The sequence below is a fragment of the Homo sapiens genome, chromosome 17 (assembly GCF_000001405.40).
Source record: "Homo sapiens chromosome 17, GRCh38.p14 Primary Assembly".
In the NCBI taxonomy this organism is placed as follows: domain Eukaryota; kingdom Metazoa; phylum Chordata; class Mammalia; order Primates; family Hominidae; genus Homo; species Homo sapiens.
In genome coordinates, this window is record NC_000017.11 from 29,678,361 (window position 1) to 29,692,857 (window position 14,497).

Here is a 14,497-nt window from a genome sequence, read left to right on the forward strand (position 1 = left end):
CGGGCATGAGCCATGGTGCCCAGTCCCAAGGATTATTTTTAATGCCAATAACTATTGCTGGTTGCTGGAGAGCTTGGGATGTGTTATTTGCCTCTAATTCTGAGGTTTACATAGATTTACTTAACACCAGAACACACTCAATAGTCTAAAAGGCAAAGGGAATTAAAAAATGTAAAGAAGTAATTGTTAATAGTTTGTGATCAAGATAGGCAAAATAGACATAACAAAACTTAAATCAATGAAACACTGCTTTGTGACTGTGCACTGAACTAGCACTGCTGAAACACAGTTAATAGAAATGTCAACAACCAAGAAAAGGGTAGCCCTAGTATGGTATTTAAAAATACTATTTCTTTTTTTTTTTTTTTTTTTGAGACAGAGTCTCCCTCTGTTGCCCAGGCTGGAGGACAGTGGCATAATCTTGGCTCACTGCAACCTCCACCTCCTGGATTCAAGTGATTTTCCTGCCTCAGCCTCCCGAGTAGCTGGGATTATATGCATGTGCCACCATGCCCGGCTAATTTTTGTATTTTTAGCAGAGATGAGTTTTTGCCATGTTGACTAGGCTGGTCTCAAACTCCTGGCCTCAGAGTGATCCACCCGTCTCAGCCTCCCAAAGTGTTGGGATTACAGGCATGAGCCACTGCACCCGGCCTAAAATGCTATTTCAATCTCACATTAGCCCAGGAAGGGCTTTAAGTTAATGGAAGAGGTTCGTACAGAAAGCCATGGACCCCTGATTGTATGCTCTATCACATCTCTTCTCTGGGAAACAGTAACCTACCCTAGGCTACTGCCACTATCTCTCCTTAACGCTGCTGTAACTGCTTTCCCACTCTGGCTAGTCTCCGAAAGGCTTCCATGATGCTCCATGCCAATCTATCTAGAGCGGAAGCATGGTGTACTAGAAAGAATCTGGCATAACCATACTGTGGAAAAGCACAGTATGGTTAAGAGCTCTGGAACCTGGGTTCACAGTATGATTATGGGCTCTGGAACCTGGTTTCTTGCACTAACTGTATAATCTTTTTTTAAAATTTATTTTTATTTTTTTTTTTATTTTTAAGATGGAGTTTCACTCTTGTTGCCCAGGCTGGAGTGCAATGGTGTGATATCGGCTCACTGCAACCTCCACCTCCTGGTTCAAGCGATTCTCCTGTCTCAGCCTCCTGAGTAGCTGGGATTACAGGCATGCACTACCACGCCCAGCTAATTTTGTATTTTTAGTAGAGATGGGGTTTCTCCATATTGGTCAGGCTGGTCTTGAACTCCCAACCTCAGGTGATCCACCCGCCTTGGCCTCCCAAAGTGCTGGGATTACAGGCGTGAGCCACCGCGCCCAGCAACTGTATAATCTTAGGCAAATTACTTAACTGTCTTGTGCCTTAATTTCTTCATTTGTAAAACTGGGATAAAAATATCTTCTTCATTGTACTGTTTTGAAGATTAAATAACAAATAAAAGAGTAAAATAGTGTCTAAGTGCCTAAAATGTAATAGTCATTACCATTTATTGAACATCTACTATGCCAAAAGATCTGGGATTGATTTCCTTCAGTATTACAACTTTTTTTTAAACAAATTATTTAACCTCTCTCAGCCTTAATTTCTTCATCTTGAACTGTGAATAATAAAACCTATTCTCATAGATATAGGTATAAAGACATAACATACTTAAAATAAAACAATATATGTGAATATACTGTCCTGTAAAACAAATGTTGAATATGAATCTGTAATGGGTGCTCTAATATATCTGAAAGTGATTGGGGGAAGGGGAAACCATTATGCTTTAAAAACAACATAATGAATACCAAACTTTAACTGTTAGTCACTGCAGGGTTAAAGGAGGCTAGCCCTTAGTTGGGCTTTCCACTACACTTGCTGGCCTGTGCTGCTTAACACCTTAAGAGTGATTCCAGGCCAGGCACGGTGACTCATGCCTGTAATCCCAGCACTTTGGGAGGCCGAGGTCAGGAGTTCAAGACCAGCCTGGCCAACATGGCGAAACTCCATCTCTACACTAAAAATACAAAAATTAGCTGGGTGCAGGGGCAGACAGACACCTGTAATCCCAGCTACTCGGGAGGCTGAGGCAGGAGAATCACTTGAACCTGGGAGGTGGAAGTTGCAGTGAGCTGAGATTTGCGCCATTGCACTCCAGCCTGGGAGACACAGCAAGACTCCCTCTCAAAAAAAAAAAAAAAAAAAAAAAAAAAAAGAGTGATTCCAGAGCTCAGGAGATTCAAATCAAGACTGAAACAGCTTATCCACATTAGAACCTGGACCTGAACAACAGAAACACAGCTACCATGCCAGAGTCCAGGAGCAAGACAGCTCTACCACAAGTTTTGTTGAGTAGATGAGATGAGCGCACAAAAAAATTTGTTTTGAAAACGGCTTCCCAAGATGAAGTGGGGATAGTTTTACAGTAGCTTTTTGTTTTGTATTTAGTGAGTGCTTAGCCAGGTTCTTAGCAACAAGTATAATTTTGAGTATAAATATGGTGGGTTGGTAGCCCAATGACAAATCTAGAAATTAACTATATAAAAAGATACAGAAGCTGCAAAAGAGTGTGATCTATAAGCTTGTGACCAGATTTTGGTTAACCTTTGGACAAGTGACATTGATATACAGGAATCGACATTACATTTTTGGCTTGTATTCAGGCCAGAGTGCTTTTTTACATTAAGAAGTAGCTTTTTCAGCAGGGCGTGGTGCCTGTAATCCCAGCACTTTGGGAAGCAGAGGCGGGCGGATCACGAGGTCGAGATAGAGACCATCCTGGTCAACATGGTGAAACCCCGTCTACTAAAAATACAAAAATTAGCTGGGCATGGTGGTGTGCGCCTGTAGTCCCAGCTGCTTGGGAGGCTGAGGCAGGAGAATCGCTTGAACCCAGGAGACGGAGGTTGCAGTGAGCTGAGATTGCACCACTGTACTCCAGCCTGGCCACAGAGTGAGACTGTCTCAAAAAAAAAAAAAAAAAAAAAAAAAAAAAAAGTAGCTTTTTCACGCAACAGGAAGGAAAGGACTGAATAAGGCACGCTTGGTATTTTTATCCAGGTTACCTCAGTCTCTCAAGATTTTTCTCCATTTAAGTATAACTACTTATTTTAGTAAATATTCAATTCATTCAATAAAAATTTATTTAGTGCCTACTATGTACCAGACATTTCAAGGTGTTAGGGGTACAAAAAGAAATGGAAAAAAAAAACCCCAAAAAACCATGAAGCTCTATTATTTTATAACTTAAAATATGTTACACTTTAGAAACCAAGATTATGCTGCATATTTAAAAAATTATTAAAATATAACATAATACTCAAAGAACTTGTAAATGGGCTAAATGAATTGGCTGCAACGTATTATTAAGAACTATTTGTACTTGTCATAATCTGGGTTCCACTTTGGCTTAATACTATTTTGAAGCATTAACATTTACATTCTCAGATATGAAATGATACAAATTCAAATTCCTTCAACAACAACTGAGACAGAAATGATTTTAGATTACCTGAGCATCTGAGACTTCTTACTGTCCAAGGAACTCATTAAAGCAGAGGATGTATGGGAATTTCATAATAGCAAGTTTAGCAAACAGAATGAAAACTAGTTTCTAGCTTTTCATGTTTTAAGTTTGTCTTCTATAAACTATAATTTCCTTTGGCTAGTGACACTGGTCAGATATGATTCAGACAGGGCCATTGGCAAAAGATAGATGTAATTTACTGAGTATAAACTACTGGATACCTATATTAATATGCATTCTTTCTGGTAAAGTTTAGGACAAAGTGAAAGAGAAATGATTAGACATGTGCTTGCTCATATTCTGGGTCAGGAGAATCTGCAGTTATTGTCTTCTGTCTCTAGGGGAAGATTCAATTGAAGCTTCATGAGGTTCCTGTTCCTGTTTTATAGGGTTTTCAAGGGAGGGGGTCAGGGAGAACTGAACAAAGGAAATATGAGCTAGAACAGTGCTGTCCAACTGAACTTTCTGCAAGAATGGAAAATGTTCTATACATGTACTGTCTAATACGATAGCCACTAGCACATACGGTTACTGAATACTTGAAATGTGACTAGTTAGAACTGAGGAATTGAAATTTCATTTAATTTTAATCTATTTAAAAAGACACGTGCATGCTGTATGCAGTGGCTCATGCCTATAATCCCAGCACTCAGGAAGGCAGAGGCAGGAGCTCAGGAGTTGAGACCAGCCTGGGCAACACAGAGAGACTGTGTTCTTCACAAAAAGGAAAAAAGAAAAGAAGAGAAGAGAAAAGGAAGGAAGATGAAAGAAGGAAGGAAGGCAGGCAGGCAAGAAGGAAGGAAGGGGCACATATGGTTAGTGGCTACTATACTGGACAACACAGATCTAGAAAGATTAAAAACCTAAATTAGAGGTCCTAAAATCCTAATGAATGTAAACAAGGTAGGTGCTGTTATAGGAAAATGCTTACTGAAAGCTCTGTTGCTTAATCAGAAGTTAAAACCATGCAGGAGAAATCTTCCTAAATCTGGTTTACAAGCCTGTGTAAATTCAGAGCCTACAATTAAATGCTGTTAAGTGGTATACAAGCTAATAACTTTGGCTTTGGGAATTCCTGTGAACCCCCAAGTCATTTTCAGGTTGACTTCTATATAGGAATAAGGTAAACATTGGTTTGGGAAACTTTCTAGTGACAAAGTGATTTTTTCCCCTCAACATCAGGAAAATTAGAATCATTCCCAGGCTCCTCCTCTCTTTGTGGCTAAATTTCCCTAGGCCTGGGTCACACCCCTAGCTACCCCATAGTTCCATTCTAATCCTGAACCAGGAAGTCAATGCTTTGAGACATCTGGCAGGATTTCCTGAGGCTAATTATCCACAGCGTAAAGATCTGCTTAGCAGCCACATTCCAAAGTCTTCCGAAGGTTTCTCCAGAAAAAGTGGGAAAAATAAAAAAGGAAAGCAACAAACCTTAAGGACACACGAAAAGGCCAGGTGTTGTGTGTCATCTTTCATCATAGAATGTAAAGTACAGCTAAAGCCAAAGGTACATAAAAAGTTCTGCTTTGAGTTTAAGGAGCCATCCCGTACCACCCCATCCCCGCCCCGCCCACCATCCTTTTTAACTCAATAGAAGGAAAAAGGAGGCATAGCATTTGGTAAAAGCAAGGTTTAAACAAAACAGACTGTAGTTTAAGTGGGATCTCTTTGTATCTGGGACTACTGGTATACTACCACAAAGGGTAGGTGCCCTAGAATCACCAAAGTGAATCATTACTGACTACAATAGAGTAGGCCAGGTGCAAGGCTCATGCCTGTAATCCCAGCACTTTGGGAAGCCGAAGTGGGAGGATTGCTTAAGCCCAAGAATTCAAGACCAGCCTGGCCAACATAAGGAAATCTTCTCTCCAGAAAAATAAGGAAAAAAAAAAAAAAAAGACCAAATAGCTGGGTATGGTGGTGCATGCCTGTACTTCTAGCTACTTAGGAGGCTGAGGTGGAAGGATTCCTAGAGCCCAGGAGGAATTTGAGGCCGTAGTGAGCTGTGACTGCATCACGGCACTTCAGCCTGGGCAGCAGAGCGAGACGCTGTCTCAAAAAGAGAAATAAAAAGGCAGCTTTTTTTCCATGGAAATGTAACTTTGAAACCACTTGCTTTATATTGTGACTATCTAAAGATGAGATGAAGGTATGGAATAATGGTAAATTGGAAACACACGACCAAAGACATTCACTAAACATTCTTGTTTCTCAAGACTGTGGCTAAGATACTTATGTTCTTTAGTTTTATGTCTTGTACTTTAACAGCAGAACTGCACAAGATATTTTTGTGATAAAAGGCAACTGGGGCCAGGCACGGTGGCTCACGCCTGTAATCTCAGTACTTTGGGAGGCTGAGGTGGGTGGATCACTTGAGGTCAGGAGTTTGAAACTGGCCAATATGGCAAAACCCCATCTCTACTAAAAATACAAAAATTAGTTTGGCATAGTGGTGTACACCTGTAATTCCAGCTACTCAGGAGGCTGAGGCAGGAGAATCGCTTGAACCCGGGAGGCGGAGGTTGCAGTGAGCCGAGATTGAGCCACTGCACTCTAGTCTGGGCAACAGAGTGATGACACTCCGTCCCCATTAAAAAAAAAAAAAAAAAAAAGCAACTGGAACAGGTTACTTAAAAAGCAGTTTTCACATTTTGAAATGGTACCACCATACCTGTCATTAGAGGAGAAATCCATTCCTAGGACGATGCTTTCTTCAGTGTCTTGTCTACCATTAGTTGAAACCACTACCATATAGCGTGTTCGATTCTGGTAAGTACTTTCCAGTCTTACAGCCTGGAATTTAGCAGACAACAGAGAAATTATGAAATTTAGGACATTAATTTCAGATCATTTCAACCCTTTTTCATCAGCATCTTAAAGCATACTCACGAAGGCAGCAGAGCCAGTAGTTAGGAGACATAAATTAAAATCTCAGCTCGTACACTAGCTATAAAAACTTTGGTAAGTTACTAAATTAATTGGAGGGAGATATAATAATACCTAACTGTCAGGTTGTTTTAAGAATCTTATAAAATAATACAGTAAAGCACAGTGCTTGGCACACAGTAAATGCTCAATAAGATGTTTGTTATTAGTGCAATTTATACTAATTACCACAGTGTGTAATAAAGACTGAAGAGGGAAATGTGAGGTATATGAATGTGAGCATTGGTCTCAGAGATGCAATTCCCACAAACAATTATAATATGGAGCAAACTATTAGCATCATCTAAGGGGAGTACTGACTTTGCTATACTGAATTCCTGCATGTTAATGCACTATAAGATTTTCTTCAGTTTCGATGATAATGAAAGGAGATTGCATTTTTAGAAACTTCTCATTTTTTGTCAAAAGTTTTAATTTATTCTTAATTAAATTTTAAAAGGACCCTCAGAAAATCTGAATATGGACAGGGTCTTAGATGAAATTAAGGATTTACTGTTAATGTAATAACAGCATTGTGGTTACTGTGACTTTTTCTTAAGTACCTGGAGTGAAATGACATGGTTTCTGAGTTTTACTTTAAAATGTTCCAACAAAAAAATTTAACAGGGAGTGGGGACAGATGAAAGAAATCAGACAAAAGGTTGATGGTTATTAAAGCTGAGTAATGGCCAGGCACGGTGGCTCATGCCTGTAATCCCAGCACTTTGGGAGGCCAAGGTAGGCAGATCACCAGAGGTCAGGAGTTCAAGACCAGCCTGGCCAACATGGTGAAACACTGTTTCTACCAAAAATACAAAAAAAATTAGCTGGGCGTGGTGGCGCACGCCTGTAATCCCAGCTACTTAGGAGGCTGAGGCAGGAGGATCACTGGAACCCAGGAGGCGGAGGTTGCAGTGAGCTGAGATCACCCCACTGCCCTCCAGCCTGGGTGACAGAGTGAGACTCTGGTTCAAAAAAAAAAAAAGCTCAGTAATGAGTTTGTGAGGATGTACTTTCTTTCTTTCTTTTCTTTTTCTTTTTTTTTTTTTGAGACAGAGTTTCGCTCTTGTTGCTCAGGCTGGAGTGCAATGGTGTGATCTCGGCTCACCGCAACCTCTGCCTCCCGAGTTCAAGCGATTCTCCTGCCTCAGCCTCCCGAGCAGCTGGGATTATAGGCATGCGCCACCACATCCAGCTAGTTTTGTATTTTTATTAGAGACGGGGTTTCTCCATGTTGGTCAGGCTGGTCTCAAACTCCCAAGCTCAGGTGGTCTGCCCACCTCGGCCTCACAAGATGCTGGGGTTTACAGGCGTGAGCCACCGCGCCCAGCCTTGATAAGTTCAAAAAGGTATCTTATAAGCCTTAAAAATAAAACAACTACAGGCAACACATTCAAATATTTATTACACATATATTATATATACAATAACAATGCCAAGTGCTGAGGATTCAGTGGTAGAAGAGAGAGACATGATCTATGCCCTCATCGAGTTATATAGTCTAGGCTACTCTTCTTTCATTTGTTAATAATAGTTTTAAAATGACAGTTTTTTTTTTTTTAAGAGACGGAGTCTTGCTCTGCCTCTCAGGCTGGAGTGCAGTGGTGTGATCTCGGCTCACTGCAACCTCCACCTCCCAGGTTCAAGCAATTTTCCTGCCTCAGCCTCCTGGGTAGCTGGGACTACAGGCACATGCTGCCACGCCCGGCTAATTTTTTTTTTTTTTGTATTTTAGTACAGATGGGGTTTCACCATGTTGCCCAGGCTGGTCTCGAACTCTGAACTCAGGCAATCCACCTGTCTTGGCCTCCCAAAGTGCTAGGATTACATGCACGGGCCACTGCACCCAGCCTTTTCTTTTTGTTTTTTTGAGACAGAGTCTCCCTCTGTCACCCAGGCTGGAGTGCAATGGCGTGATCTCGGCTCACTGCAACCTCCGCTTCTTGGGTTCAAGCGATTCTCCTGCCTCAGCCTCCCAAGTAACTGGGATTACAGGCACATGCCACCATGCCTGGCTAATTTTTGTATTTTTATAGAGACAGGGTTTCACCATGTTGGCCAGATGGCCAGGCTGGTCTCGAACTCCTGCCTCAGGTGATCCACCCACCTCAGCCTCCCAAAGTGGTGGGATTACAGGCGTGAGCCACCCACCTGGCAAAATGACAGATCTTTGAAGCCAGAAAAATGTGCTCTGGAGGCAAATTCTTCTGTATAAAATAACCCCTATTCCTTAGAGAAACAGAATTCTAATCCATCAACTGGCTCATTATATTTGTCAGAAATTTCTATTTGGAACTTTTTTTTCAGTGCTGCTGTTCTTGGAGTCTCCCTCCTGTTAACTCTGTCACCATTCCAAAATGGCCAGGCCAAGGGAAAAAGAGGCATAGTTACACGGCTCAAATGACCCATTTAGCAAGGCAGAGGTGAGACTCCCATGGCTATCTTTTTGTCTCTATTCTGATACTCCTAGGAAAAGCTAGGGAAGCACAAACAGCAGAAGTGGCTACATTAAATCTTGTTTCTAATAAGAACGGATATAACAAGAATGTAATGCTTACCATTCTGATGCCAAATGCATAAGATAGAGAGCTGTACTTTTGACTTCATGTTCCATGAAGTAATTGAGCATTTAAAACCAAATTCACTTATGAGAAGCTAAGCGGAACTAACATTTAAATGGACTAAGATCTAGAAGGCTGGGATCAAGGGTGGGATATTATACACACAGAAAAATGAATAAATAGTAAATGTACATGTGGCAGACCGGGAGGCAGTACTGACTCCTTCTCTGATTGTAGAAACACTCTACAACATGTTAATTAATCACAAATCCTGGTGCAGGTAAACTGGATTTTCTTATAAACAAGATCTCGCATATTATTACATATTTATATTTGGGCCTCCCTTGGCCCAAGTTTCCTGAATGTGTTAGAGGCTCTTTTATTCTCTGTCAACGCTCCAAGAATTTCTGGCAAGGCTCAAATACAAATGGCCTGGGAACAAATGAACTTTGTTTCTGACAATTTATTTACAGCTCCTACACCAACCAGTGGCAACTGATTGGCTAAGTCAAAGCTGATAAAAGGAAAAATATAACTTTCATAAGTATTATCTATAATGCAAGTTACCAGCCAAGTTAGAAGTGGGCTGCAAGAGTTTCTTTGTAAGTGATATTCATTGCAAACATTAGTGTTTTTTTTTTTTTATTTTTCGAGATGGAGTCTCACTCTATCGCCCAGGCTGGAGTGCAGTGGTGTGATCTTGGCTCACTGCAACCCCCGCCCCCCGGGTTCAAGCGGTTCTCCTGCCTCAGCCTCCCAAGTAAACGGGATTACGGGCACCTGCCACTGCGCCTGGCTCATTTTTGTGTTTTTAGTAGAGATGGGGTTTCACCATGTTGGCCAGGATGCTCTCGATCTCTTGACCTTGTGATCCACCCGCCTCGGCCTCCCAAAGTGCTGGGATTACAGGTGCGAGCCACTACGCCCGGCCAGATGTCTCTTTAAAGTTTATTTTATAATATCAAAAGCATTTCAAATGTTTGGCTCTCCCTTGCTTACTCAAACTGTAACAGAAGTTCCCAAACCTAATGAGAAGGGCCCCAGACATTTAATACTGACTTAGGCTTGAATAACATGCATATCTCAGATCCATTCAATTTTAAGCTTCTTTTTTGTTTTTGTGTTTCACTCTGTTACCCAGGCTGGAATGCAGTGGTGTGATCTGCAACCTCTGCCTCCCGGGGTCCAGCAATCTTCCCACCTCAGCCTCCCAAAGAGCTGGGACCACAAGTGCCCGCCACCATGCTTGGCTAATTTTTTGTATCTTTGGTAGAGATGGGGTTTCACCATGTTGTCCAGACTGGTCAATTTTAAGCTTCTTAAATGGAAGAATAGCACTTAAGAGTTCCTGGAATTTGATCACAGGCCTCTAGACAGTACCTACAGTATTGATTCAACACCTATATCCTAATTAGAAGGATGAGATAAAAATCTTTGAAGAAAAAATTCTGAAATGTGAGGGGATAAACCCAAGACTTTAATTAAAGTTCCTTTTAGGCCGGGCGCAGTGGCTCACGTCTGTAATCCCAAAACTTTGGGAGGCTGAGGCAGGTGGATCGCTTGAGGTCAGGAGTTCGAGATCAGCTGGCCAACAGGGCAAAATCCTCTCTCTACTAAAAATACAAAAAAAATTAGCTGGGTGTGGTGGCATGTGTCTATAATCCCAGCTACTCAGGAGGCTGAGGCAGGAGAATTGCTGGAACCCAGGAGGAGGAGGTTGCAGTAGGTTGAGATCACGCCACTCCACTCCAGCCTGGGCGACAGGGCAAGTGAGACTCTCAAAAAAAAAAAAAAGTTCCTTTTAAGCTTCAAGATTCTAGGTTAAGGAATTAAAAATCTATGTGCCGCAGCCATAAGGAAAAGTCTAACGCCCATCCTGGTTTAAGGTTTATTTCGTATTCCTCTGTTGGAGATAAGATTAAGCAAAATCTAATAATTTATTAACACAATCAAATAAATTTAAAATGGCAATTTTGTACATAATATCCTAATTTTGAAAAGGACAGCATTTCCAATGTTTCTTCAGTCTCCAGAACCTATATTGAAATCAATGACTGGAATAAGACAATAATTGAGATGCATTTGATTTATCAACTAAAGTTCTCCTTGAAAAGGACACTACTGAAGTCCATTTTAATTGTCTAAACAAAACAATTATTCTGGACTTTAAAACTTGGCAGCAATAGTAACTAAGATTATATTTCCAAGAAACTACATTTACTGCCTAAATGTGGAATCCTATTACAAGTTACAGGTGAATTGGATCCAGCAATCTTAGGACTGAAGTAGGTCTGAGAAGTCATCCCCTGCCTCTTTATTCCTGAAGAACCCAATCTGTTTTCAAAGCTCATCTATTAAAGAATAATGCTATTCCCTCGGCATCCAATTTAAATGTTTAACCTAATTACAAGCAGTTTACAAACTGGGCATAGTGGCATGCCAGCTACTCGGGAGGCTGCAGTGGGAGTATTACTAAAAATACAAAAATTAGCAGGGCATCATGGCATGTACCTGTAATCCCAGCTACTCAGGAGGCTGAGTCGTGAGAATCAGTTGAACCCAGGAGGCAGAGGCTGCAATAAGCCGAGAACACACCACTGCATTCCAGCCTGGGTGACAAAGCGAGATCCATCTCAAAAAAAAAAAAAAAAAAAAAAAAGAGCTTCTCTCCTCAGCATCATCTAACATCAGGAAATACTCCTCCTTAAGCTTAAACTGTAACTTTGCCTTTAATTTCTTTTCACCACTGGGTGCAGTGGCTCACGCCTATAATCCCAGCACTTTGGGAAGCCAAGGCGGGCAGATCACCTGAGGTCGGGAGTTCAAGACCAGCCAGACCAATATGGAGAAACCCGGTCTCTCCTAAAAATACAAAAAATTAGCCAGGCGTGGTGGCGCATGCCGGTAATCCCAGCTACTCAGGAGGCTGAGGCAGGAGAATCGCTTGAACCTGGGAGGCGGAGGTTGTGGTGAGCCAAGATTGCGCCATTGTACTCCAGCCTGGGCAAAAGAGTGAAACTCTGTCTCAAAAAAAAAAAAAAAAAGACTTAATTTCTTTACACCAAGAGTCTTACATGCATGCCCCTGTGTGCATGATGTAAGACTCTTGGTGAAAAGAAATTAATTACCCCCAGTAAACTACATTATAAAGGCCCAATGTCTAAGACAGGCAGTTCACCCAATCCATCAGAGAGAAAGGTTCCAAAAGTAGGTAAATATTAAATGCTAGTCAAAAGAATGAAGCAAAATCAATAGCCAAAATTAAAACAGGCTTCACTTGTGACACTAGTAAACTAAAGAACACTGTCTTCAAAAGAAAAAGATTAGAGCTTCAGGAAGTCTCTGAATTTTTTTTTAAATCAGTCTGTATGAAATTCTTAAATATGAATTATATTCTGTGTAGCCATTAAAAACCATGATTTATTTATTGACATGGAAAGATATCCATGATAAACTATGAAGAAAGTAGGTTACAAAAAGGTATTTCTATTTTTATCACATTTTCGTAGAAACAAAACAATGCTCTTCCTCTCACTCTTTACACACACACACACACAGACACACACACACACATAGACACACACACTCTCTCTCTCATATATACATATTTAAAAAAAGAGTGGAAGGATACTTATCCAAATTGCTGAGAACGATTTTCTCAGAATGTAGAATACAGAGTGATTTTTATTTTATTTATACCTTTTTGCATTGTTTGGGAGAAAAAAAAACCCCACATAATACATTTATAGCTAGAAAAAATGAACCAATTTCCATTTTAGAAAGCAACATATGATGAAAACCAAAATCATAAAACTTCTCATTTTCTTGAATTCTCCTGCAAAATACTCAAAAAAGACCTCTTTGTACCTTATCAACACTTCAGCTTTAGTTAAGAACATCAATTGAAATTACTTCAAATGTCCTGAAAATTCTTAATTTCTCAGATTAATGTTTTAATTAAATGGTTGATCTTTGGTAACGTGCAAGAGTACTATAAAACCACTTTCTTTATTTTACTAGCTACAGTTTTTCTAAGTACTACAGTTAATGCTTGATGCCTGTATTTGGAACACAGAGCTTCCCTGGAGGAAAAGATTGGCTTTGTCCTATTTTCTCTCTTTTTTTTTTTTTGAGACAGAGTCTCGCTCTGTTGCCCAGGCTGGAGTGCAGTGGCACGATCTCGGCTCACTGAAAGCTCTGCCTCCCGGGTTCACACCATTCTCCTGCCTCAGCCTCCTGAGTAGCTGGGACTACAGGCACCTGCCACCACGCCCGGCTAATTTTTTGTATTTTTAGTAGAGACGGGGTTTCGCCGTGTTAGCCAGGATGGTCTCGATCTCCTGAACTCGTGATCCACCCGCCTCGGCCTCCCAAAGTGCTGGGATTATAGGCGTGAGCCACTGTGCCCGGCTTATTTTCAATGCTAAAGCAAAATGTGTGGTTTGGTTGGGTTATTTAAAAAATGAAGTCAAGACTTTCAGCCGGGCGCGGTGGCTCATGCCTGTAATCCCAGCACTTTGGGAGGCCGAGATGGGCAGATCACTTGAGGTCAGGAGTTCAAGACCAGCCTGGCCAACATGGTGAAAGCCTGTCTCTACTACAAATACAAAAAATTAGCCGGGTATGGTGGCATGGGCCTGTAATCCCAGCTAGTCGGGGGGCTGAGACAGGAGAATCACTTGAACTCGGGAGGCAGAGGTTGCAATGGGCCAAGATCGAGCCACTGCACTCCAGACTGGGCGACAGAGCAAGACTCTGTCTCAAAAAAATAAATAAATAAATAAAAAATAAAAAAAAAAAAACAAGACTTTCAGTTGACTATCAAACTTTTAACCTTCTGCACAAATCTTCAGAGTTTCAGCATTACAAATTTAACTCAAAACAAAAGCCTTTGCTTTGAGTCTACAAATGCTCCTTTCAGTTACAGAAGTGCTAATTTGTCCAAAGTCATACAATGCATTGACTCATTTTCTTGAAGATGACTCACTCAATAAGCTGAAACATAATGACTATGTGTTTGTAACAACTCAAAACAACTGTAAAACGGCTTGTCATTTGAACTTTGAATTCAGAGGCATCAGTTACATTTTCTGAATTTATATTTTATAAATGTAAAGCAGCTGAAGATGCATATTTTAGTAAGAAAAGAATTGCCAGCTCTGCCTTTGTAACTGCTTCCTTCATGTTCTTCCAAGTCTCTATGTAGTTAAAATTATTTTAATATTTAGAGGTTCAAACCAAATTCCAGAAGGTTATCAATGAGAAAACGATAAAGTGATGTTAGATCTCTTTAAAGCTTTAGCTTTACCAAAACACACAAATGTTGAAAGCTATCAGCAAATATTTATTGGGCATCCAGTATGTGCAAGTGACTGTTGTTATGGGTTTTCAAAGAGGTGTACTCCAAGTGTGATTCCTGGATCAGCAGCATCAGCAGTGTTTCGAAACTGGCTTAAAAATACAAATTATCTCTGCTTCCC

General features: G+C 40.8%; 1 protein-coding gene across 15 annotated transcripts in view; it reads right to left on the reverse strand.

Annotated features, from left to right (window-relative positions):
- The window catches only part of SSH2 (slingshot protein phosphatase 2), a 304,291-nt gene that overhangs the window by 52,423 nt on the left and 237,371 nt on the right, over nt 1-14,497 (reverse strand). For all 15 annotated transcript variants that reach the window (XM_047436967.1, XM_005258058.4, XM_047436968.1 and 12 more), the window contains one exon: nt 6,203-6,324. In XM_047436967.1, coding sequence (XP_047292923.1) covers nt 6,203-6,324 — 122 coding nt within the window. The remainder of the gene's footprint in view (nt 1-6,202; nt 6,325-14,497) is intronic.